At 37.0% G+C, this 27,280-nt stretch overlaps 1 protein-coding gene across 9 annotated transcripts in view; it reads left to right on the top strand.

Annotated features, from left to right (window-relative positions):
- C12orf50 (chromosome 12 open reading frame 50) overlaps positions 1–12,385 on the top strand; it is a 50,198-nt gene extending 37,813 nt beyond the window's left edge. For 4 of the 9 annotated variants that reach the window (XM_024448865.2, XM_024448866.2, NM_152589.3 and 1 more), the window contains exons 8-13: positions 3,049–3,156; positions 4,454–4,570; positions 6,004–6,108; positions 6,367–6,570; positions 9,225–9,317; positions 12,064–12,385. In XM_024448865.2, the coding sequence (XP_024304633.2) occupies positions 3,049–3,156; positions 4,454–4,570; positions 6,004–6,108; positions 6,367–6,570; positions 9,225–9,317; positions 12,064–12,089 (653 nt within the window). In that variant the 3' untranslated portion in view covers positions 12,090–12,385. Of the gene's footprint in view, positions 1–3,048; positions 3,157–4,453; positions 4,571–6,003; positions 6,109–6,366; positions 9,030–9,224; positions 9,318–12,063 lie in introns of those variants that run through there. The other 5 variants (XM_017018888.3, NM_001363616.2, XM_017018886.3 and 2 more) reach the window with 4 other exon arrangements.
- Positions 12,386–27,280: the final 14,895 nt, after the last annotated feature.

Below are 27,280 nucleotides of genomic sequence, written 5' to 3'. Positions count from 1 at the left end.
TATAGTATATATATACACACAGTTGATACACACACAAACACACACACAATTGATTCTTGTTATTCCTGGTTGCTATATATAAAGCTGACATGAACACTGAATTAGCAAACACTGAACCATTGCTCCTCGGGGAACTATGTACACACACACATATACCTACATCTCACACAGATTATAATCTTAAATCGTAGAAATTACTCATCCTGGTATATTCTGTTTTCCTTATTTTACAAAAGAGAAAACAAAGTTCAGAAGTCTTAAGTGACTCTCTTGAGGTTGCCTCACTAACAAGCCTCAGAACTGGGACTCAAACCCCTTCCACCTCTCCCCAGAGCCAGAGCTTCTTCCACCATGCTGTGCTGCCCTCTCCTGTCTCCAGCCATTCTCTGATCATCTCTGTATGAACTGAAATGAGAATGCTGAGCACTGCCATTGTTAGACCTCAGCTAGGAATGTGCGGGTCCAGCAACTCAAAATTTTCACCACTCTGCGTACGTTTGCAAACAACAAACAAACATAAAAACAATGCATGAAAGCACCATGAGTATTGATATTGGGATTTGACAGACAATATTTCCAGTTTGGGACTATTATTAACATTCTTGTACATGTCTTCTAAAGGCCATATGCACACCTTTTCTTTGAGATTAGCTTGCTCTGTATCCTTACCCACAATTAGTATTTTCAGTCCTTTAACTTTAGCCTTTCTGGTGAGTGGCTAGTGGTACATCATTGTAGTTTTAATTTGTATTTCCTTGATGACTCATAATGTTAGCACCTTTTCATAAACTTATTGGCCATTTTGACTTTCTCTTTTGTCTGGTGCATTTTTAAGTCTCTAGCCCATTTAAAATATTTTTTTCTTATTGACTTCTCTAGATAAATCTGGATACTTTCTGACAACCTACTGTCCTGTTCACTAATTCTCTTCCTCTCTGCTCTTTAATCCGTATTTTAAATTCTAAATTTCTATTTGACCTTCTTATTGATTTTCTACTTAAATTCTCCATCAGTTCTCTATTTTGATAATGTTCTTGTTATTTTTTGCAACTTCCTGTTTGATTACGCTTGGATATCTTTCATTTTCCTCAGGTTTTTGCTCAATTGTCCTGTCTTACTATGCCTTCTAATATTTTATTTGATGCTGAACAATATGGATAAAAATTACATAGTGTATGAATGATGTTATTTCTCCACAGAGAAACTTTTCTCCTGGCAGGCAGCTAGACTATCAGCAGACCACCTTGATTCTGTGAAGGACTAGCTTTGGGCTTTATTAGGGATGATGCCGTAGATGATACATTATTTTTCCTTTCTTTGAAGGTATAGTCCTTATTCCTCGGACAAGACCCTTACCCCTAAAGCATTGCTTTACTGGGTTATCAACTGAGACATGGGATGTTCACCAAGATACCTCTACTCTGGCAAAGCTCGAATGCCAAATTTTACCTCCCAAGCAGTATGTAGATGCTGAAATCTCTGACCAGTTTTTAGCCTCCCAGATGCAGTTTTTGCTTATTTCCTAGGGTTCCACACTGTACCTGAAAAGTATGGGAGTCAGATAACAGTTTAAAGGGAGTTTTATGCCTATTTCAGAGGAACTTCTTTGTTGTTCTTCTTTTTTCATTTCCCCCTCAATTTCAAACCAATTAGATAGTCCCAGACTTTCGGCTCTTTCTTTTTCACCTCCTTGGTGTCGCTTTCTGCTTGTTATTTCCTTACATGATGAATTAGACATGCTTTCAGGGAAAAATCCGTAGTAAGTGTGGAGCGTAACTCCTTCAGGGAAAAAAGCCAGGGTGAATGTGAACATACAATTGACTTTGTGTCCTTCCATTGCTCTCAGGCATTGCAGTCACATGCATTGGGTTGTTTTCCAATCAGTTTGTTTTGGTATTTTATAGTTGTTTTTGGGATGAAAGTTATTCTAATAAAAGCCATTTTGGTCATGGTAGAAACCAAAAATCTTTTTGACATTTTTATCACTGGTTTTGTGTAAGCTCCTTGAGGCTAGGAACTGTGTATAATCAATCACTATAGATAAATCTCTGTAGTAGAATGCCTGGCACATTATGTGCACTCAGTAAATACTTGTAGAATAAAGGATGATATGTTCAAATGCATTGAATGACTGGGTGAATGTAGACATGTTTATAAAATTTACAGTTAACTGGAGGTTAATCTGTTGGAACAATGAGCCAAATCTTACAGGGTAACTTCAAGCAATGATAAACATACATTCTTACATTTAGGTACAAAACATTAAATAGTGGCTTTTCTTTAATTTGGGAAAAACCCAGTATGATGGCGTTTTTGAGGGGAAAATAGAGTGAGTTTTTTTGGCCACAATGTTTTACAACAATTTAGGCGTGTGTTTTCACTACCAAATAGCGATGGTAAAGTCACATTGGATTATTAGAGGCAGTATAGAAAGATAGTTAAATGTGATTTAAAGTACTCAGTAAAGGGTCAGATTCCTAGAAAATTACTCCATGAATGGCAAGTATTATTTTACTAGTTCTGCTGATTTCTCCACAGCTTAGTTCACATTTGGGTGTCATTTTAAAATAAGGTTATTTGAAACAAATATGTTAAGAAAAGGTAATGTATGGTGAAGAATTTTGGAATTTTGTATGTAACATTTAAAGCAACTATGGATATTTATCCTGGAAAATAGAAGTTCTTGGGGAAATATGGAAACTGCTTTAATATATCTGAAGATGTTATATGGAAGATAAATTACATTTACTCTGAGTATCTCTAAAGGGTGGGACTAAAGATTATTATACATTAAGGAAAATTTTGTTGACTCTGAATTTTCTTGCAATTATCTATATGTAAGTTTACATACTGCATATTCATATACATATATATTAATACTCATGTATTAATCTAAGCATATAAATGTATGGAGATGGATATGGTATCACTGAGAAGTGTCCAAAGAAAGGTGAACAAAAGGGGTATTGTAGAAAATGTTCCTGTATTGAAAGCTAGTTTGTATCACTTTCTGCCATTGTTGCCACTGACAGTAAGGTTTTGTCATAGGAGGTGACTGTTATGTTCCACAGAGGGTCATATTTCTTGGAGTCGATGAAAGTGAAGCTTTAACTGAAGAGAAAGAAATCACCATATCAAAATGTTCAAATACTAAAGGTAATGAATATTATATAATTTTGATTCATTTGTAATTTGGCTAGGCAAGTTAAAGACAAGCTTGCTTGTTATAAAAACCAATAGAGGAATGGTAATAAATCAAAATATACACTGAATAGGAGTCAAGAGCTCTAAGGTTCCAGTCCTGGCTCTGCCCCTAACTGTATGACCATTTTTTTGTTTTCTTACCTGAAAAATAGCCTGTTGGACTGTATAATTTCTAGTATTGCTAGTTCTAAAGTTACTGGTTCTCTTAAATGGCAATACCAAGTCCTTTAATTTATAATATCAGTATAAATGAATTTTGTTAGAAAACGTTGTTTGTGAACATTGTGAAGAGTTTAATCTCAAAAAGACTTTTGTATTTTATAATTGTTGCTAACACTAGTCTGTGAATAATCAAGAGATATGATAAAATACATCCTCTATAGTTTTACACTGCCCTTAACTGTACTTAAAATCCACCAGCTGTTATCTCTCTGCTGAGTGCCTCTCAGTCGCAGACTAAAAGTACAGCTGTCCTGTAATTAGGGGGCTTCACATACTTTCAATCAAAATGTAAACCCATTTTATCTACCATCTCTACCATTAAATATCTCAAGCATAGGAAAGGTTGCCTGTGATCAAATCATTTTCGTGGAAAATTGTAAATCTTTCTCTCATTTTCTCAGTCAGAGATGGAAAGGTTTTCCCCAGTCCATCAAAGAAACTCTTAAAGCTATACTAATATGGTAGCCACCAGCTATTTATGACTCTTTGAATTTAAGTTAAAGCTGAATAAAATAAAAAATTCAGTGTTTCATTGGCACTAGCCACATTCCATGCGCTCAATAGTCACAGGAGGCTAGTGGCTGCCATATTGAACAGCACAGATTTAGAACATTTTCATCATTGTGGAAAGCCCTACTAAGGAGTCCTGCTCCAAAGCATATAGCAAGTTAAAGTTGTTACATTTGAAATATTTTCAGAACCCCAATTTAAATGGGACCATTCAATGTAAAAATGTAAAACCTTTTAAATCTTTTGTATGGAGATAGTAAAAATACTGCCACGATTTTTTATTTACATATTGAAAATAATGGCTATAGTTTCCGAGTTTTGTTTTGTTACTCATGACATTTTGAAATCCACGTGGCAACTAGGGAATGTTAATGATGCTTTTCTCTCAATTCATAAATATATATATTATTTTAAAGAGGTGTTCCCATTATGTAATGTTTGAATAGTGAAATAACAACTGAAATGCTTTTTTTAAAAACTAATATTGACATTTTATTTTCTTAATTTGCTTTAAAAGATAACAAGGACAGTCCTCATCCAAAGCATTCCCTAACTACCCGACTAGTACCTACAACGCATGTATTAAATGCTACTGAGAATATCAGTATGAAGTGCAGAGAGGACCCCTCTTCAAGTGAGACATTAGCTCTATCACTTTTTGGCCTCAGATATATTTGTCTTACCATGGATTTGTTTTGCTTATTTAAAATAGAATTTTAAAAAAGAAAGAAAAAAGGTTTAAAAATTATTCAGAACTAAGAATTAAAGACACAATATCCTCTACTAACTAACTCTGACAATGAGCTGTGATGTAGGTCCTAGTAAATTATATGCTCTCCCACTAGTTTAATTTTGGTATTAAAATGAATAATACACTACCTTTTTGGAAGATTCACTAGCATAACCTTTTAAATTGCGCCCATAGTGGAATAATACATTGGCAGCTTTTTATTATGTTTTGGATTATTTTTTATTAGTTTGGCTTCTCACTGACATTCGGTTCAGTGAGCTACTTCTCTTGATACAGTTAAGACTTGTGAATCTTCCTGATCCCTTCCCTTCTTCCTTCTGTTCCTTGTTTTATTTATTGAACCCCTATAATATTCTTGGATCGCAGCCTGGCACTGATGGGAATACTTGTGATTTGCCCTCAAGAAGCCCAGTTCAGTGGCACTTGTTAAAAATATGGATTCCAAATCCTTGCACTGGGAGCTTGGGAGTGGATCAGGGGCATGATGTTTGAGGAGGAGACAGTGAATCAGAGCTTTATTGAGGGCTTAAAGCTAAAGCTGAAAGTTAGGGCACAGAAAGATTAATTAGTTTACTGTAGAGAACTAATGTAGTCTACACTGTACACTTGATGTTCAGTTTCTCTGTGCAGCGGTCACTTGTGAATTTTCAGGAGCCTTGCACAGTGAAGTAACAGAATGCCCCCTCTACAAAATTGTTTTAAGATTCTCTGGAGATATGTACCATAGAAATTCCTGAAAAATTGAGAATACATATAAAATATTGATGTAAAAATATACAAAGTGAAAAATTTAATATTCTTAGAACTTATAAATTCTGATTGCTCAATCTTGACCAAACTATCTGTACACCCAATTTAAGAGCTTAAAATAATAAGGTAAAGTTCACTGAAAGTATTTTACATTAATCCAACTTCTTAAGAAGTAGTAGTTTTGGCTAAAAAAGTACAAAAAATTCATGTTGAAAATAAGAGTTCTAAAACTATTTAACAATAGCATTATAATGAGATTTATAATTATATTTTGAATGCAATTTTATGTTCCTTTAAAAGAATCCACACATTCCTTTGGAGGAAAGTGTTTTTCTTTGAGGAAAGCTACTTATTGAAAGTTATTTCATCAATCTATTTCCAAGATAGATTTTTTTGGCACTTAAAAATAAATCACCTTTTGTTCTAAAAAGTAAAGTGTTAGGATGGTGCATTTATTTTTTCCTCTTGCTTGACATGTGAATGCACAGATATGTAATTATCACCTACAGTAATTTCAGAGATGAAAGCATCTCTTAAAAAATTGTAAAATTTGTATCTTTTCTAAGTGAATGATGTCCAGCCAGTGAAGAAGCCTCATTTTAAAGGTGTGAAGAAAAGAAAATGGATTTATGATGAACCACAGAACTTTCCTAACTCTGGAATGCAGAGAGGTAAGGTGTCTATATATTTGATATTTCTAAATTGTAATTTTAAAAGAGATTAAATATCAAATATCTTCTACCTGAAAAACAAATTACTGTCATGTGACGTAAATGTTACTTTAGGGGTCAACTCAACTTCTCTAAACTTAATTATTTTGGCTTCTATTGGCTTCCATTATGCTATGAAGTATTTGCAGTGCAATATGTTATTTATGGGTGTGAAACCAGCCTGTTTTATTCCTCACTCCCTCCCACCTTTCTTTACAGCAGTACAGGCCCCAAGACCCCAAAATAAAATGAGTTATCACCGCAATAATAAAAATCGAAATGCGGAGAATGCATCCTATATCCACGTTCAAAGAGATGCTGTCAGGACTGTCGCGTTGAATGCACCTTCCCGCAGCAGGCCCACGCATGGGTCCTACAATAAAGTCCATGCTAACAGGGAACCCAAACCCAACCTCAGTCCAGGTGAGGTCCTTTGTTGATGTGGTTTACTCTTGTCTGTGGTTTGCATTCCCATGGAATTTCTTGACAGCTTGGCTAAACTTCACTACTACTTACTCCCCTCTTCTTTACCCTGGCCATCACCACCATAGAAACTAGTGAGAGGATTTCTTCCATGTGCAGTCCTGCACATGATTTAAAGGATATGGAAGAAAACTCATGTTGTGTGCAGATGACTTCAGATTGCACCTCCCTAGAGTTTTTTTCTCAGAGCACTGCACTTTGTTCCTCCAGGACAGCTTCATGTCACTCAGGAGGACTGTTTTTGAATGGCTGACATTTTCTTGTTCCACTAACTGCATTGTTCAATTTTCACTGTCAGGCTAGTGCCTTGACTTTTCTGTAGGCCTTCATGATTATTTTCTGAAAGGGTTGGTTTGGGGATTAACTGCCATATTTTTGACAACCTCTCATCTCTCTCACCATGGATAGATTGCTTCTAAATCATTTCATCATGTAATAGGCAAAGTCATAGTATATGTCAGGAAGTACAAGGTTACAGGGGAGAAGAGAACCGAATCTCTTTATCTCTTTTTCTTCCTATGTCTCAGATGGATTTTGTTCTTTTGAAGTTGGGTTTCAGTTCTCTAAACTTAACAAAATGCTGCTCAATTCTATATGATTTCATGTTTGTATTTTTCTAAGTTCACGGTTTAGTTAGTGGAGTTCTGAATATTTTGAACTTATGGAAACATAAGACTATATCTTTCTAAGTTTCTTTTATAATTTAATAAATTTTTTAAAATTATGAGTACACAGTAGGTATATATATTTCTTTTACAATTTAAATATACATTAGCTTATTTAAATTATTTTTCTTTTTGCTTTAAAATAGAATGATATATGGATGTGTATTTGTAAATAAGGATATTCTTAGGTGAAACGTGCTTTTAATTTTATTTATTACTATTATCTTATTTACTGATATTGTTATTGTTATTATCATTTTACTGCAACTGGATGTCTGTGAAGAATACAATGAGTACTAGAAGAGCTGCCAATGTCTAGGTTTGTGTGAAGGTGCCAGAATTCATACTCTATATTGCTTTTGCACCATTAGTGCAAATGTCAACACAAGAGAAATGCAAATTATTGGTATTACGGATCATGCTTTGAGAACACAGCTGCATAGTAATATTTGAAAACACAAATATAACATTGTTAGACAGTAGCAGAAATGTAGATATGTCAGAGAAAAATAAGTATTTAAGGACCAGGTGAGGATATAAATGCTTCGGCTATCTGGGGCAGTGAGGTCGGTATTGCATCACACCAATTACTGCGAACATGGAAGTCACTTCATGGAAGGACATGGGACTTGGGCTGTACCTCATAGTTTCACAGTTTTTAAATAAAAGCTCTAATAAACATTAGCAGAATTTATGCAAAACTATGATGAAGTGATGCAGTCAAAATTTTTATTACATTTAGATATCATACCCTCCTGTAGCTTACCCTTATTTGAAGCATTGAACAGCCAATTAAGAATCTGTCACCATGCAACCTACTCATCTGACAAAGGGCTAATATCCAGAATCTACAGTGAACTCCAACAAATTTACAAGAAACAAACAAACAACCCCATCAAAAAGTGGGCAAAGTATATGAACAGACACTTCTCAAAAGAAGACATTTATGCATCCAAAAGACACATGAAAAAATGCTCATCATCACTGGCCATCAGAGAAATGCAAATCAAAACCACAACGAGATACCATCTCACACCAGTTAGAATGGCAATCATTAAAAAGTCAGGAAACAACAGGTGCTGGAGAGGATGTGGAGAAATAGGAACACTTTTACACTGTTGGTGGGACTGTAAACTAGTTCAACCATTGTGGAAGTCAGTGTGGCGATTCCTCAGGGATCTAGAACTAGAAATACCATTTGACCCAGCCATCCCATTACTGGGTATATACCAAAGGACTATAAATCATGCTGTTATAAAGACACATGCACACGTATGTTTATTGTGGCACTATTCACAATAGCAAAGACTTGGAACCGACCCAAATGTCCAACAATGATAGACTGGATTAAGAAAATGTGGCACATATACACCATGGAATACTATGCAGCCATAAAAAATGATGAGTTCATGTCCTTTGTAGGGACATGGATGAAACTGGAAATCATCATTCTCAGTAAACTATCGCAAGGACAAAAAACCAAACACCGCATGTTCTCACTCATAGATGGGAATTGAACAATGAGAACACATGGACACAGGAAGGGGAACACCACACTCTGGGGACTGTTGTGGGGTGGGGGAAGGGGGAGGGATAGCATTAGGAGATATCCCAATGCTAAATGACGAGTTAATGGGTGCAGCACACCAGCATGGCACATGTATACATATGTAACTAACCTGCACATTGTGCACATGTACCCTAAAACTTAAAGTATAATAATAATAAAAAAAACAAAAAAAAACATGCTCACTTATAACTTAAATGGTCTTAATAAACTCACTTGTATCCCTGATGCCTTAGCTTTGAAATGGTAAAATGAATTACTTAGAGAATAGCTTCACCCCTGAGATGTTTATAACTTTGAAACACCCTTGGAATATGATTTTAAAGTTATAAAATATTTAATTCTGGATTTTTTTCCCTCAGACAAATATACGTCAACATCATATAATGATTCAGCCTGGCGAAAACGAATTCCTTTTTCAAAAACATATTCAAAAAGTGAAAAGATATATCCAGGTAACTATTTATAAGTGGTTTTAATGTATCATGCAATTCTGAAAATGAATAAGTTTTCAAGTGCAAGGAGTGTTTTAGAAAACATGAAGATAAATAAAAATTTCAAGATATACATGCACACTTAATTACTTGGAGTTTAGTAGATATCTTGTCTACTAGTAATGTAATTTTACTGTTTTACTGTGTTCCTCTTTGCCTATTTTTATGTGTTACCCAAAAACGTTTTTATACAGTTCTTTCCTGGACAATAAACAGTAATTGCAGCAATCATGTAATACGTTAAGATGCATTTTTTTTTTTTTTTGCTGTGCTGCGAAGCAAATGTGTAAAACTGTATTTTAACACAAGACATTAAAGCTTTACTATATCTACCATAGACAAATATTGGCTGGTATAGGCTGACAGGACATCCAAGATGAAATTTCTCAGCCAGTAGTTTCTGAGGGACTGTGGTCTCCTCCTTGTGGAACTCTGCGCTCTGGGAGACTGGGGTTCCTTGGAACCTCCTCAGGGTAGAGGTTTGTTGTATCCCTGACCTCAGGTTTTTCTTTTGCTAAACAGCTTGGTGTCTTTTCCCAGACTCTCCTGGGCTGGTTCAGTAGGTTTGGAAATCTACAGGGGATAAAATGCTTTCGATTACTTCTCAGACAACTGAACATTTCAGAAAAATTTCCAGTTAGGGAACTCCTACTGACTACAACTGTGACTCAAGGCACAGATATGTGTTATATGTTTATATACTGGGGATAACTGTTTTCCATTTTCCCCCCATCTTTCCCAAATCATACTGTGCTGCAAGAGAACCCTGCTGCAGTGCTATTTAATTGATCATACTTTCTTTTAACTTTGTGTGAATTTTCACATGTGATAGCACTGAATTTGGGGGGTGGGGAAAGAGGTGAAGAGTTGATGAAAATCCTGGGTGAAACTTGAAATTGTTGAGCTCTATAGCCTTTTCTCCTATGATCCTCCTATGGGTGAAGTGATATTTGGAGTATTAAGGGATGTGCTCCTCCCTTATCCCTGTCTTAATGACTTCTCTTGTCTTTCAGTAGCCTTCTCACCTCCCATACCAGATAGTTAAATATGAATTACAGAAGACATTTAGGAAAGGAAGGGTCACTTCAGCACATAATACATGTACCATCTATGTGTAGCACTGAATCAATGCATAGAGGTATGGCTGTGTTGCAGTTCCCAGATGCAATCTAGGGAGAAAAGCTTTGAAGAGAAATTTTTTGCTGTTATCTGGGTTAGGGGGAAGACAAGCCATGTCTAATATGAGAGGACTGGAGACAGCTTCTTGAGATTTTTCAAGTGCTAAGGTTGCGTGGGAGGGCATCTCACATTCCTGTGAGCCTCAAGTGGGAGAAGGTTCATGGGAGAGAGGAACAGTGGGTCCAAATGAAGTCTTCTGGCTGGGATTAAAAGGATAAGCACCAGAAAGAGGACTTTGTTGAGCCATATTGGGGTGGGTCAGTATTTAGCTGTAATCTTGACAGATTGCTTCTGTCAGAGAGCCAAGGAGAAACTGAGCCAGCATCCACTGACCAAATCCTTGTTAACTAAACTATGGTCTGAGGACTAGCTGCAATGACATCACCTGGGAGCTTTTTTAAAATGTAGGATCTCCATCTCAGACCTGCTGAATCAGAATCTGCATTTTAACAACATTCCCAGGTGATTAAGATACACATTAAATTTCAAGAAACCTTAGACTGGGTATCTAGGCCACCATTAAAGAAAAATAAGAGCCCAGCACAGGACCCATCCATGTCAGGACTGTTGAAATTATATTCTCTTACTAGCTCTCTCACAACCACAACCATTCTCTCCTGTTCCAATTCCCAGAAATTAGGATCAGTAGCAGGGAGGTGGGGTACAGAGAACACCCTGAGAAAAAATTTTAAATCTGAATGTGACTGAAATGTAAAAGTGAGATGCCTAATAAATCACTGAATTGGACTAAATTTACATGCAGAGGAAGAATGAGGACTTAAGAAATTAGATTTTATAATGAAATAGTTTGTTTTCTTATTTTCTTTTGATTGGGAAATGCATAACCTCACAATGCTTATCCTTCCCAATTGTTGTCATCACCAGAATAGGAAGAGAAAGATTAGCTTATGTTTCTTCCTGCACATATTCCTGCTAGGTCACAGAGCAACATTTTCAACATTTCCCAGTGGACAGATGGACTACTGGAGGAAAGGAGGCAGAAAACACAAGCTGCCATGAGTCTGTTCCTCTAGGGCACTGGCGGACAGGAGAAGCCTTTTGGAAAAATGTTGTTGGATACTGTGGGGATAATGCAATAATAGAGGAGAATGCACATGTCTGTGGGAATTAGGGGCAGAAGCTGAAGGCAACTGGAGATGTCATTCTCATTGGTGACCTTCTCTTGAGGCCACAAGTCCTTTGTAATAGGGATATTGCTGGTGCGAGTGAAGGTGCTTGTCTCCATATGATGGAGCCTTCGTTCTGTTCATTCTGCATGTCCCATAGCACAGCCTTATATACGGTGTCACTTCCATTCTTTTCCACCCCTCCATCCAAATGCAAAACATAGTAAGAATCAAAAAGAAGTGGACTATTTGAATGGCATTTTGAAAATTTATAAGTTAAAACAGTAAGATTAGTTTTTCTTTGCCTTTAGATTTACGGCAAGTAATTAGCAAAAGAAGAACAAAATATCAGTGCGCTAAACAAGAAAATAATTGAAATATTTTGTGTATTTTATTATTAGAGCCAAGAAGAAATGGGAGCAAGTAAACCTGGAGGTTGAGAGAGAGAAAAATGAGAAAAAATTGCCAGACATCATCTGATTTACAATCAAAAATGAAAATTCAAAGAATGAGATACTCAAGTACTCCATGTTATGTAGTGGATAGCCAAAGATGATAAAAATGCAAATTCTGAAAATAAGATGCAGGAAGTACATTGTGCTCTTTCAAAACTGATAAAAATGCAAATTACCAACAGCTGCCAGTGTATTTATGTAGGTCTGGAATTCATTCCGTGCATTACTCCAAACATTTTAATAAAATTTAAAAGTTTGACAATTAAAATCATTCTTTAATTGTAAACCAAGTTAGATTACACAGATTGAGAAGTAAAATTGTGCCTTTAATTTCTGTTTTGCAATATTCCTTATGGAAGAAACCTCACTTCTTATTTCTTTACCTGGATTTTAAGCTGGGCCCTCAGCAATGATAACATATAAAATGTAAATACATTGAATGAAGTTTCAGCATTACAGTTTGGTGATGAATATGTTAGAGGAATTCCAATAGAAATACACTTTAATGCATGGTAGAAAGAGACAAAGATTGGCCTATTATTCAGGGCAGTTGTTGAACAATGTTTTAATTGGCAGCTACAAAATCGGTCTGCTGAGGTTTGCTAGATTCAAACTGAAAAATAAACATTTTCCTACCATGAAAATAAAAATTATATGATTATATTGGAGAAAAGGACATGTTTAAGAAAAAAGTGTATTAATAACATGGTGTTCCAAATGTCTTAGTGATATTTTAAGGCATTAGTAACTCCAGAAGCATAAATATTTACAAGTGAAAGAGAGACATCATTTGAAAACTAATTTTGATTTCTTTCTGCCCTTTTTAGAATTGTGTTTTGAATAGTACTTTTAAATTTAATTTTTAAAATTTTCATCAAAGTGAACCACCCGCAGTGACTGAAACAAAAACTTAAAAATTTATTCTTTAAATTGAAAAACATGTTTGAAAGCAATATAAGTAATTAATATTTAAAATGATGTAACATTTAAAATGATGTCTTTGTAAGTGTAGTATTTATACTTCTGAGTTTATTAAAGCTTAGAAATTCACTAAGACTTTGGGATATCTCATATTTATATTTGCATGAATTTTGTGGTTATCGATACCATCTTTTTCAATATTTATTGGAGGGAAGGAATCAGGGTTCTTAGAAATACTTTATTTTAGAGTATCTTTATAATATGTGGAGTAATAAAGCCTAGGTTTTGGCTTCTAATGGTGCTCTGTGTACACACTTTCAAGAAAATGGGGATATAGTCATTTATTTTTTAACAAGGGAGCAGATAGAAATGAAAACTGTGGGCTGAGTGCAGCGGCTTATGCCTGCAATCAGAGCACTTTGGGAGGCCGAGGCAGGTGGATGGCTTGAGCTCAGGAGTTTGAGACCAACCTTGGAAACATGGTGAAACCCCGTCTCTACCAAAAATACAAAAATTAGCTGGGTGTGTTAGTGCACACCTGTGGCCCTAGCTACTCGGGAGGCTGGGGTGGGAGGATCACTTCAGCCAGAGGTTGCAGTGAGCCAAGATTGTGCCGTTATACTCCTGCCTAGGTGACAGAGTGAGACCCTGTCTCAAAAAACAAAATAAATAAATAAATAAAATAAATGAAAACTTTGCCAGCAAAATATCTTTGTGAGATAGATTTGAGAGGGATGTAAGAAAATAGCTGAGTTGACAGGCTGTCTAGATTGAAGCTGATGGGAGACATAATTCTATTTAATGAACAGATCTCTGTCCTTCTAAAACTTCAACTAGTTATGAAGAGGAAAAGTTCTTAGGAAGATAATCCAAAAGACCTTCCTGAAGTACAAATTCTTAGTGTGTATCTTTATTGTATATTAAATGCTGAAGAATCAATGGGGAATGAGAAAAATCTGAAGGAAGTCCTGAACGTGATTGTACACATGTTGTTCCTGAATAAATGGAAATGTTCATTATGGTAAGCTTTGTCTAAAGGAACACATAGATGACAGCATTAGCGAACTGTGTTTCTATATGTGTGATTTAGGAAAAAGGCAATTGGTTTAAATGGGGGTAAATTACAAACCAGGGAGGAAGAAGGTAGCAAACCCCAAAGTAAGAATATATAGGAGACAACAAAATAAGTGAACAACCAAAAAATTAGTTAGCAAAAACCTATTCTTGCTGATTCCTGAACATGCAAATAGTGCATTTAAAGTTAAGTTTCACAATGCCAGTGGGTGGATAATTGCTTTTGTGTCACATCTAAAAGCTTTTGATACATTTCACTAGAGTTCCATGACTCTACTCTTCAACATGCAGCATTGATAAAAATGATAATAAAGGTAGCATCTGTTAAATGCTTAGTATATTAATTGGCTAAGACAGCTGTAACAAAGTACCACAAATTGAGTGTCTTAAGCAACAGTTCTAGAGGCTAGAAGTCTGAAATCAAGTTGCTAGTAGGGTTGTTCTTTTCTGAGGGCTGTGAGGGAAGGATCTGTTCCAGGCCTCTCTCCTTGGCTTGTAGATTGCTGTCTTTTCCCTGTGTCTCTTCACATGATCATCCCTCTATATATGTCTCTGTGTCCAAATTTCCCCTTGTCATAGAGACACCAGTATATTGTATTAGGGCCCATCCTAATGACCCCATTTGAACTTGTCTCTGTTAAAGACCCTGTCTCCAAATGTCACATTCTTAGGTAACAAGGATTAGAACTTCAACATATGAGTTTTGAGGGGGACATAGTTTTGAGTAGATCTTAGACAAATTCACTGTTAACATTCCAGTCTCCCTATGCCTTTAAATCCTTTCATCTACAGTAAACAAAGCAGATCTGGCATTTCTAACTCATTCACTCTTGGTCATGTTTTGGGCCCATGTTTAAGCCAACAAACCAAACAGAACTCTTTCTTTCTTTCTACCTTTTTCTTTTTGTAAAATTTGAGACAGCATCTTGCTCTGCCACTCAGGCTAGAATGCGGTGGCAGGTTCATGGCTCATTGCAGCCTTGGCCTTCTGGACCCAAGTGATCCTCCTACCTGCACCTCCTGAGTAGCTGGGGCTACAGACATGTGCCACCACACCTGGCTAATTTTGGTATTTTCTGTAGAGACAGGTTTTCAACGTGTTGTCCAAGCTGGTCTTGAACTTCTGAGCTCAAGAAATCTACCCACCTTGTCCTCCCAGACTGCTGGGATGACAGAGATGGGCCACCATGCCCAGCCAATTAGAGTTCCTTTTAACTCCCCAAGCTGCCACATTAAATGCAGAATCTTTGCACAATGGGTCTATGTCAACAAATTTGGTTTGGTCCAACTTTATTTTCTTTCCATCACTATTCACCACCTTTAGTATCCATTCTCAGACATATTCTCTGTATTTCAATCTGTATAAATTAGAAAACTCAAGTACTTCTTTTGGAGTGTAGCATACTTCCTCATGGATCACACTTTGTACCTCATCTTTAGGGTGCTGAGTCTAGTATCAAAGAAGGATGGTGGGGTGGATCTTGAGGGGAATTAGCATCTTTTAAGGCAACTTTCAGGGTTAATCTCAGATAGGGGTGGAGAGGTTGCTTCTACTGGGAGTGGATCTACTATTTTTAATGGTGAAGAAGACTCAGAACGTCCCCATCTTTATCAGAGTCTTGCTAAATATCCCTATTTCAACTTTCAGGATCACATTCCTTCCCAATCAATGTCCTCACTAGTTGACACCCCCTGCAAGCCTGGGAATTCTATTTGCATTGTAAGTTAGTCACTTGCAAGAGGAAATCCTGGGTTTGGTTTTCAGCAATTCCAGCCTTGTGGCTACAGGAAATAACACTCTCTTTTCAGGGTAGGCATGTAACTTTCAGGTCATTTATGGAATGGAAATGACCTGAACTGGAAATTCAAATCCTTGAGCTCATCTTTTTCTTTCTCCACTGTCTTCAGGGGTACTAGCGGCAAGCAGCAAAGCTCATTATACTTGTTCGTTTGACAAAAATATTCAAAGGTATCGTAAACATGTCAACAGATCCTTGCCTCTTATAAGTGGTTGATTAGGAGTTTCCAGTGGTGATATTTTGCCTATTTCTATTGCCACATCATGTCATGAACTAGTAATCTTCTTTCTACAACTGGAAATAGAGTTATTAGTGTGTTTAATCAGATTATAGAGCCAATTCCAGAAACCCTAGAACCGATTCAGAAAACTCATCCTTAGGATTATACTCCACTAGAACTACACTTGGTACGAAAATCTGTATTAGTCAGCATTATCCAGAGAAATGCAACCAATAGGATGTGTGTACATGTATAGGAAGAAATTCACTTTAAGAAATGGGCTTGTGCGATTGTGGAGGCTTAGTGAGTCTAAAATCTCATGGGGAAGGCCAACAGGCTGGAGAATCAGAAGATAGTTGTAGTCCAGATCTGAAGGCAGTCTGCTGGAAACTTCCTTCTTGCTGGGGAGAAGTCAAGTCTTTTATTCTAATCAGGCCTTCAACTGACTGGTTGAGGCCTACCCACATTATGGAAGGTGGGCTGCTTTACTCAAAGCCCACCAATTTAAATGTAAATCACATCCAAAATCACCCTCACAGAAACATCCAGAATAATGTTTGACTAAATATATGGGCATCATGGCTCAGGCAAGTTGGCACATAAAATTAACCATCACATTGGACCTGGATAATCCAGGGTATTTTCACTATATAAGGGCAGGTGGTTAGCAAACTTAGTTTCCCTTTGCCAAATAACCTAATATATTCACAGGTTCTGTGGATCAGGATGTGGACATCTTTGGGGAGCCATTTTTTTCTGCCTAACACGACTACCTTTCATATGCGTAATAAAAAATAGTTGTTACTATGTAGCAGAAACTATACTACATCAAATAACTCACTAAAAAATTAAATCTCTTCTTCACCTAAACAAACAATGAGATAGGAAGAAGCCACCCTGGGCCACCCTGGGCTAGAGATGTCAATCTTGGCACCATCATGGTAAGTTTCCTCATCAAGTTTTCTTCCCTGGGGGAAGGAGCCAAGATGGCTGAATAGGAACAGTTCAGGTCTACAGCTCCCAGCGTGAGTGACGCAGAAGATGGGTGATATCTGCATTTCCATCTGAGGTACCAGGTTCATCTCACTAGGGAGTGCCAGATAGTGGGTGCAGCTTTGAAGAGAGCAGTGGTTCTCCCAGCATGCAGCTGGAGATCTGAGAACGGGCAGACTGCCTCCTCAAGTGGGTCCCTGACCCCTGACCCCTGACCCCCGAGCAGCCTAACTAGGAGGCACCCCCGAGCAGGGGCAGACTGACACCTCACATGGCCAGGTACTCCAACAGACCTGCAGCTGAGCATCCTGTCTGTTAGAAGGAAAACTAACAAACAGAAAGGACATCCACACCAAAAACCCATCTGTACATCACCATCATCAAAGACCAAAAGTAGATAAAACCACAAAGATGGGGAAAAAACAGAGCAGAAAAACTGGAAACTCTAAAAAGCAGAGCGCCTCTCCTCCTCCAAAGGAACGCAGTTCCTCACCAGCAACGGAACAAAGTTGGACGGAGAATGACTTTGACGAGCTGAGAGAAGAAGGCTTCAGACGATCAAATTACTCCGAGCTACGGGAGGACATTCAAACCAAAGGCAAAGAAGTTGAAAACTTTGAAAAAAATTTAGAAGAATGTATAACTAGAATAACCAATACAGAGAAGTGCTTAAAGGAGCTGATGGAGCTGAAAACCAAGGCTCGAGAACTACTTGAAGAATGCAGAAGCCTCCGGAGCCGATGTGATCAAATGGAAGAAAGGGTATCAGCGATGGAAGATGAAATGAATGAAATGAATCGAGAAGGGAAGTTTAGAGAAAAAAGAATAAAAAGAAACGAGCAAAGCCTCCAAGAAATATGGGACTATGTGAAAAGACCAAATCTACGTCTGATTGGTATACCTGAAAGAGACGGGGAGAATGGAACCAAGGTGGAAAACACTCTGCAGGATATTATCCAGGAGAACTTCCCCAATCTAGCAAGGCAGGCCAACACTCAGATTCAGGAAATACAGAGAATGCCGCAAAGATACTCCTTGAGAAGAGTAACTCGAAGACACACAATTGTCAGATTCACCAAAGTTGAAATGAAGGAAAAAATGTTAAGGGCAGCCAGAGAGAAAGGTCGGGTTACCCTCAAAGGGAAGCCCATCAGACTAATGGCGGATCTCTCGGCAGAAACTCTACAAGCCAGAAGAGAGTGGGGGCCAATATTCAACATTCTTAAAGAAAAGAATTTTCAACCCAGAATTTCATATCCAGCCAAACTAAGCTTCATAAATGAAGGAGAAATCAAATACTTTACAGACAAGCAAATGCTGAGAGATTTTGTCACCACCAGGCCTGCCCTAAAAGAGCTCCTGAAGGAAGCGCTAAACATGGAAAGGAACAACTGGTACCAGCCACTGCAAAATCATGCCAAAATGTAAAGACCATCGAGGCTAGGAAGAAACTGCATCAACTAATGAGCAAAATCACCAGCCAACATCATAATGACAGGATCAAATTCACACATAACAATATTAACTTTAAATGTAAATGGACTAAATGCTCCAATTAAAAGACACAGACTGGCAAATTGGATAAAGAGTCAAGACCCATCAGTGTGCTGTATTCAGGAAACCCATCTCACGTGCAGAGACACACATAGGCTCAAAATAAAAGGATGGAGGAAGATCTACCAAGCAAATGGAAAACAAAAAAAGGCAGGTGTTGCAATCCTAGTCCCTGATAAAACAGACTTTAAACCAACAAAGATCAAAAGAGACAAAGAAGGCCATTACATAATGGTAAAGGGATCAATTCAACAAGAAGAGCTAACTATCCTAAATATATATGCACCCAATACAGGAGCACCCAGATTCATAAAGCAAGTCCTGAGTGACCTACAAAGAGACTTAGACTCCCACACATTAATAATGGGAGACTTTAACACCCCACTGTCAACATTAGACAGATCAACGAGACAGAAAGTCAATAAGGATACCCAGGAATTGAACTCAGCTCTGCACCAAGTGGACCTAATAGACATCTACAGAACTCTCCACCCCAAATCAACAGAATATACATTTTTTCAGCACCACACCATACCTATTCCAAAATTGACCACATACTTGGAAGTAAAGCTCTCCTCAGCAAATGTAAAGCAGCAGAAATTATAACAAACTGTCTCTCAGACCACAGTGCAATCAAACTAGAACTCAGGATTAAGAATCTCACTCAAAACCGCTCAACTACATGGAAACTGAACAACCTGCTCCTGAATGACTACTGGGTACATAACAAAATGAAGGCAGAAAAAAAGATGTTCTTTGAAACCAATGAGAACAAAGACACAACATACCAGAATCTCTGGGATGCATTCAAAGCAGTATGTAGAGGGAAATTTATAGCACTAAATGCCCACAAGAGAAAGCAGGAAAGATCCAAAATTGACACCCTAACATCACAATTAAAAGAACTAGAAAAGCAAGAGCAAACATATTCAAAAGCTAGCAGAAGGCAAGAAATAACTAAAATCAGAACACAACTGAAGTAAATAGAGACACAAAAAACCCTTCAAAAATTAATGAATCCAGGAGCTGGTTTTTTGAAAGGATCAACAAAATTGATAGACTGCTAGCAAGACTAATAAAGAAAAAAAGAGAGAAGAATCAAATAGATGCAATAAAAAATGATAAAGGGGATATCACCACCAATCCCACAGAAATACAAACTACCATCAGAGAATACTACAAACAACTCTACGCAAATACACTAGAAAATCTAGAAGAAATGGATAAATTCCTCGACACATACACTCTCCCAAGACTAAACCAGGAAGAAGTTGAATCTCTGAATAGACCAATAACAGGAGCTGAAATTGTGGCAATAATCAATAGCTTACCAACCAAAAAGAGTCCAGGACCAGATGGATTCACAGCCGAATTCTATCAGAGGTACAAGGAGGAACTGGTACCATTCCTTCTGAAACTATTCCAATCAATAGAAAAAGAGGGAATCCTCCCTAACTCATTTTATGAGGCCAGCAGCATCCTGATACCAAAGCCGGGCAGAGACACAACCAAAAAAAGAGAATTTTAGACCAATATCCTTGATGAACATAGATGCAAAATTCCTCAATAAAATACTGGCAAACCAAATCCAGCAGCACATCAAAAAGCTTATCCACCATGATCAAGTGGGCTTCTTCCCTGGGATGCAAAGCTGGTTCAATATATGCAAATCAATAAATGTAATCCAGCATATAAACAGAACCAAAGACAAAAACCACATGATTATCTCAATAGATGCCGAACAGGCCTTTGACAAAATTCAACAATGCTTCATGCTAAAAACTCTCAATAAATTAGGTATTGATGGGACGTATCTCAAAATAATAAGAGCTATCTATGACAAACCCACAGCCAATATCATAACGAATGGGCAAAAACTGGAAGCATTCCCTTTGAAAACTGGCACAAGACAGGGATGTCCTCTCTCACCACTCCTATTCAACATAGTGTTGGAAGTTCTGGCCAGGGCAATTAGGCAGGAGAAGGAAATAAAGGGTATTCAATTAGGAAAAGAGGAAGTCAAATTGTCCCTGTTTGCAGACGACATGACTGTATATCTAGAAAACCCCATTGTCTCAGCCCAAAATCTCCTTAAGCTGATAGGCAACTTCAGCAAAGTCTCAGGATACAAAATCAATGTGCAAAAATCACAAGCATTCTTATACACCAACAACAGACAAACAGAGAGCCAAATCATGAGAGAACTCCCATTCACAGTTGCTTCAAAGAGAATAAAATACCTAGGAATCCAACTTACAAGGGATGTGAAGGACCTCTTCAACGAGAACTACAAACCACTGCTCAAGGAAATAAAAGAGGACACAAATAAATGGAAGATCATTCCATGCTCATGTGTAGGAAGAATCAATATCGTGAAAATGGCCATACTGCCCAAGGTAATTTACAGATTCAATGCCATCCCCATCAAGCTACCAATGACTTTCTTCACAGAATTGGAAAAAACTACTTTAAAGTTCATATGGAACCAAAAAAGAGCCCGCATCGCCAAGTCAATCCTCAGCCAAAAGAACAAAGCTGGAGGCATCACACTACCTGACTTCAAACTATACTACAAGGCTACAGTAACCAAAACAGCATGGTACTGGTACCAAAACAGAGATATAGATCAATGGAACAGAACAGAGCCCTCAGAAATAATGCCGCATATCTACAACTATCTGATCTTTGACAAACCTGAGAAAAACAAGCAATGGGGAAAGGATTCCCTATTTAATAAATGGTGCTGGGAAAACTGGCTAGCCCTATGTAGAAAGCTGAAACTGGATCCCTTCCTTACACCTTATACAAAAATCAATTCAAGATGGATTAAAGACTTAAACGTTAGACCTAAAACCATAAAAACCCTAGAAGAAAACCTAGGCATTACCATTCAGGACATAGGCATGGGCAAGGACTTCATGTCTAAAACACCAAAAGCAATGGCAACCACAGCCAAAATTGACAAATGGGATCTAATTAAACTAAAGAGCTTCTGCACAGCAAAAGAAACTACCATCAGAGTGAACAGGCAACCTACAAAATGGGAGAAAATTTTCGCAACCTACTCATCTGACAAAGGGCTAATATCCAGAATCTACAATGAACTCCAACAAATTTACAAGAAAAAAACAAACAACCCCATCAAAAAGTGGGCGAAGGACATGAACAGACACTTCTCAAAAGAAGACATTTATGCAGCCAGAAAACACATGAAAAAATGCTCATCATCACTGGCCATCAGAGAAATGCAAATCAAAACCACAATGAGATACCATCTCACACCAGTTAAAATGGCGATCATTAAAAAGTCAGGAAACAACAGGTGCTGGAGAGGATGTGGAGAAATAGGAACACTTTTACACTGTTGGTGGGACTGTAAACTAGTTCAACCATTGTGAAAGTCAGTGTGGCGATTCCTCAGGGATCTAGAACTAGAAATACCATTTGACCCAGCCATCCCATTACTGGGTATATACCCAAAGGACTATAAATCATGCTGCTATAAACACACATGCACACGTATGTTTATTGCGGCATTATTCACAATAGCAAAGACTTGGAACCGACCCAAATGTCCAACAATGATAGACTGGATTAAGAAAATGTGGCACATATACACCATGGAATACTATGCAGCCATAAAAAATGATGAGTTCATGTCCTTTGTAGGGACATGGATGAAATTGGAAATCATCATTCTCAGTAAACTATCGCAAGAACAAAAAACCAAACACCGCGTATTCTCACTCATAGGTGGGAATTGAACAATGAGAACACATGGACACAGGAAGGGGAACATCACACTCTGGGGACTGTTGTGGGGTGGGGGGAGCGGGAAGGGATAGCATTGGGAGATATACCTAATGCTAGATGACGAGTTAGTGGGTGCAGTGCACCAGCATGTCACATGTATACATATGTAACTAACCTGCATATTGTGCACATGTACCCTAAAACTTAAAGTATAATAATAATGAAAAATAAAAAATTAAAAAATAAATAAATAAATAAATAAAAGGCTTGTTCCCCATTACCTTCCCTTTTCGCTTCTGTAAGAGTAGTGTAGATATGCTGTTTATCTTCCTATCTGTTCCTCAAGCACACATCAAAATATACAACTTGTGAATATTACATTTAATTTTGAGTTTTCTGGCAACCAAGACAAGAAAGAAAACATAGTTATATCAGAAAATTATTCTAATGCTCCACAAAAGCCTTTTTTTATAGTACTACTTTTGAAATGAAACACATTTTGTGTAGACCTAACTGAAATTCATTCGATAAATGTTAAAAGAGCACCTTTGAGATCAAGCCTTCGGCTACATGTTACAGATACAAAGATAAATCAGGTCTTTCTCTCTAAATGCTTCTAATATAATGAGTGATGCAAACAAGTGATTTAAGCATTTATGTGATGTACTGTGTGCCATAGTGGAAGTACAGAATAGGTGCTATGGGACTATAAGAGAAGGCATGTTTCACAGATATTTCACCTGACAGTCTTGCTTGGCTTTGTGTGGTTTGCAAGATTTCTTAAACATTTTCTTGCTGCTAGCATTCCTCTATACGAGGAGTTGTGTCGACTTATAGTCCTGCATGTGGTGGTGGCCTGTCCGGACACTGGGACTACTGTGGGATAAAGGAGGAATTGCTAAATTTTAAGGAGCACTTCCTTTCTGCTTTAAAACAGAGAATTTGTGCTCATGTGTTCCTCAGAGAAATGTTGCTAAGAACATTAGTTTTAGAGTGAACTTTTCTACTTGGACACCCACCTGCATTCCATTATGTGATTATACTATGCATAGTGATTAGCTTATTTATTCTCCCATTAGTCTATGAGTGTTTTCAAGAAAAGAACAATGTCTTTCCCTCGTTATATTTCTCGTACCTGACATATAATTGATACTTAATATTTATTGAGTGATCTAATACCTGTCACTGAAGTTTCTTTTCCTTGGATCAACCAGAACAGTCAATAGAAATGTGGATAATTGCCATGAACCTTGTGTTTTGAGTGATTCGCACTGGCTAAGAACTCCTCAGGGCCATGGAGATATGCTCCTCCTTCTAGGGCATGCTCTAGAACCAGGGATGCTGGATTCCTCTGTTGTAATTACTCTGAAGTCATTTGCAGTGCTATATGAGCCTTTCCCCCAAAATAGTGCTTCAAAGTGTAAACCTTGCTATCAGATGGGTGGAGAAGGAGAAACTGTTTGCAGGATGTCAAAGGAGGTAGAGAATGTGGGCTGTTCTGTCCATACATGTGCACAGGGTCTCTTGAGCCTTGGGACATATTATAGCAGGGAATGGGAAGAGAAACAGGATGCCATTCATCCCAGGAGCCTGAGGCTTTTCATGTTTTACTTCCTAGAGTAGAACTCTGAGTTGTCCCAGGATTCTAAATATAAGCCTAGTTTTCTATAACATTATGTGGGTATATTTGGTAGCTTTATTTATAACTTTAAAATATTTAGGTATATGGTATATAAGTCTTCATATCTACTCTTGCCTGAGGCTCTGCAAATAATCCACTTAGCACACACAGGCAAAAGAGCAACATTTTCTGTCTAATTATCATTTTTTTCCTGTCAATTCTGTAACACTTGCAATTTTCACATGGGTTGTTTCTTGTTTCTTTTATTATGCAAACCATGGACAGAAGGAGAAAGACTGGCTGTAACAAGAGTCTGGCTTTTTGCCAGGGACTTGTCATCATAGCAAAGAAGCTAGGCTGAGCAGAGAGGCTGTGTTAATTACATTTCCAGAGTATTTCAGATGGAGAATGGACCACACAAAAGTATAATTTCTAAATAATTTCTATTTTTTATTCTATACATCCCAGGTAATTTATGGGGTTGTTGTTATATGAAACTGTTGTAGTTATTAAGGAAGCCTTGGGCAAAACCCTTAGGTCTGTGTACCATTCGGCTAAAAGTAACGCATACCATTGTTCTTTGCTATTAACCAGAGAGTGATTTGGACAAGTGATTCAAACATGTTTAGTCTATAATCTCTAATATTGAAAATCTATAGAAAAATAGGCTTAAGATCTAGAATAAATTCATAAATTATACCTAGGGACAGTATAAGATTCTCTTAAGTGATTATTTTTTCCTCAATAATTTCCATGCTACTTTCCTCTTATCACATTACTATTTGTTGTAAAAATAAGGTCTCTCTCTCTCTCTTTCTCTGTCTCTCACACACACATACACACACAGACACTCACTCATATATATATATAGAGAGATAGATAGATAGAATTTAGTGCCTGGCACGTAATAACTAACTACCCGGTAACTTGTAGATGATATGAAAAAAATAGCTGTAAATAATGAAAATATGAGGCTTCAGTTTCCAGTAATATGGTAAACTATATATTCAGAGATTTTTTTTTCTGGAACAACACACCCAAATATGTCATATTTAGAAACAAAACAATATGAAACAAAAGCCTTTTTTCCAGTGTGTATCAGAACAGGTTGGGGCGAAAAGGGATTGATTACCTCAGAGGCTACAATGACAAACAGAGAATCCAGAAGAGTAAGGAAGAATTAGAGCTGGTGTTTGTCCTCAGGTATTTGTACGTCTCTGCCATAGATTTTGAACTTCAATGGTCCATGAATAGAGGAATAAGAGACAAAGTCTAGGGCATGACCAGACTTGGGGGAAGGATTGCAAACCCCACAAAATGCCAGGACCCATTAATGGTGAACTACAAAGGAGGGAAGTAGAAAATGAAACCTTACTTTGCAGACAGAGGCAGTATTAGTATATATCTTCTTCTCCTAGCATTTCTAAAGATTTTAACTTTTTCAGGTGAATTTTGAGCTTAATTCACATGATCAGGATGTCCTAACAAACTTCAAGCCTAAAATGTAGTATAAAGTATTCTGAAATTGATCATGCCTCCAGGTACCTGGATGAAGCAAAGTTAAATAATTTGTAGTCTCTGGCTTCTAATCTTAGGCCTTAAGGAATTACCAAAGATAAAGTTCCAAATAACATAAATGTATAACCCACTCCCCAGTATTGAACATGTAGAAATAGCCATTGAGTCAAGAGTAGCAACAAATGACAGAATCAGACCTGCAAAAAGTAATTAAAGGGTAAAGAATGCATTGAAAACATAAAGAATTGATAAAAGGCTATTAACATTGACCAGAAATATTTGAAAAGAAACCATATAGAACATTTGAAAGTGAAAATAAAATAGTAGGAATAACATAGGTGTGATAATAAAAGATTGGGTAAAAAGATTAGATATGCTGCTGAAGAGAGTACATGTTGAAGAATATATTTGAATAAATTTGCCATCATGTATCACAGACTAAAAATGGAAAATACAAAAGAAAGGTAAAGAGAGATGGAGAATGGAGTAAGAGTATCAACCTGTATCTTCCAGATAAGACAAAAGAGAAAACGGGAGAGATACGTTAAAGAAAATGGTGGTAAAAATTGTTGAAAAACACCATCTTCAGACACAGGAAGGCTGCTGGATCAAAAAATAAAAATGAAACCCTCACCTCTACTCTCCATCTTTAAACTGCAGTACATCAAAAATATCATCTTCAGCAGAAAGAAAAGAGTTTAACTACAAAGAAAGAAATATTATGCTGATATTTAAACTCTCAAGAGCAACAGAGCCAGACAGTAATGGAATAATCAATGCACTTAAATAGAGTAATTAGCAATCTAGAAAAATGTCCAGTCATTTTTCAAGAATTTGATAGAAATTAAAACCTGTTAGAAAAATCCAAACTGAGATTTTTTTTCCCCCAAATCGAAATCTAAAGTTACTTCTGAATTATATTCTTCTGGAAAAAGAAAAGTGATCTACAAAAATAATCTGAGAGGCATAGGGAATAGTTACCAATGAACGTAACATGTGGTTTAATTTAACAAAACAACAATTGTATAAAGCAACAATAATACTTTCTAATTTGTAAGTTAAAAAAAAACAAGGTAGAATTAAAATCTCAGACCATTTACATACAAGTTATAACAATGGGTGACCAGAATTAAGTCAACTTGAGTTCTTTGTATAGTTGAACATGCAATGTTGTGTGGATTGTGCTGTATGCATTCAAGGGGAAATAGATCATAATCAAACACAGTGTGCTACCTGTGTAACTATACACAGTGAGCCTGAAGGGGTAAGATATAATCTTGATGTTGTTAAATTTACCATGCATGCCAAAATTTATGGGATAACTGCAAGAAAACATAAGTCATATCATATTGCTGCTAAATTGGTAGAAAGAAAATGGAATAAAAAAGAAATAAAAAATAAAGAAAAAGTTGTATAAAAAGCACAAAATAAAGTAGCAAAAATAAAATGTATTAGTAGCCATCATGTAACTGGGGCAAATTCTAATAGATAAATATTTTTATATCCAGCAGTATGATATTCAAAAGAGACCCATGTAAAACTTCAAAACAGAATGTTTGACAGAAAAGTGATAGAAAAATATATATTGATGAATACTAATGAAAAAAGCTAATATTGCTGTATTAATGTAATGTAAAAGACCATTATGGCAGACCATTATGACAGAAAAAAATGACTAGACTAGGAGCATAAAAGTTTCTGTTCATCAAG

This window comes from Homo sapiens, chromosome 12 (genome assembly GCF_000001405.40).
Source record: "Homo sapiens chromosome 12, GRCh38.p14 Primary Assembly".
Classification (NCBI taxonomy): Eukaryota; Metazoa; Chordata; class Mammalia; order Primates; family Hominidae; genus Homo; species Homo sapiens.
Note: the sequence above shows the minus strand (reverse complement) of the source record. Positions and strands in the feature narration are given on the sequence as shown.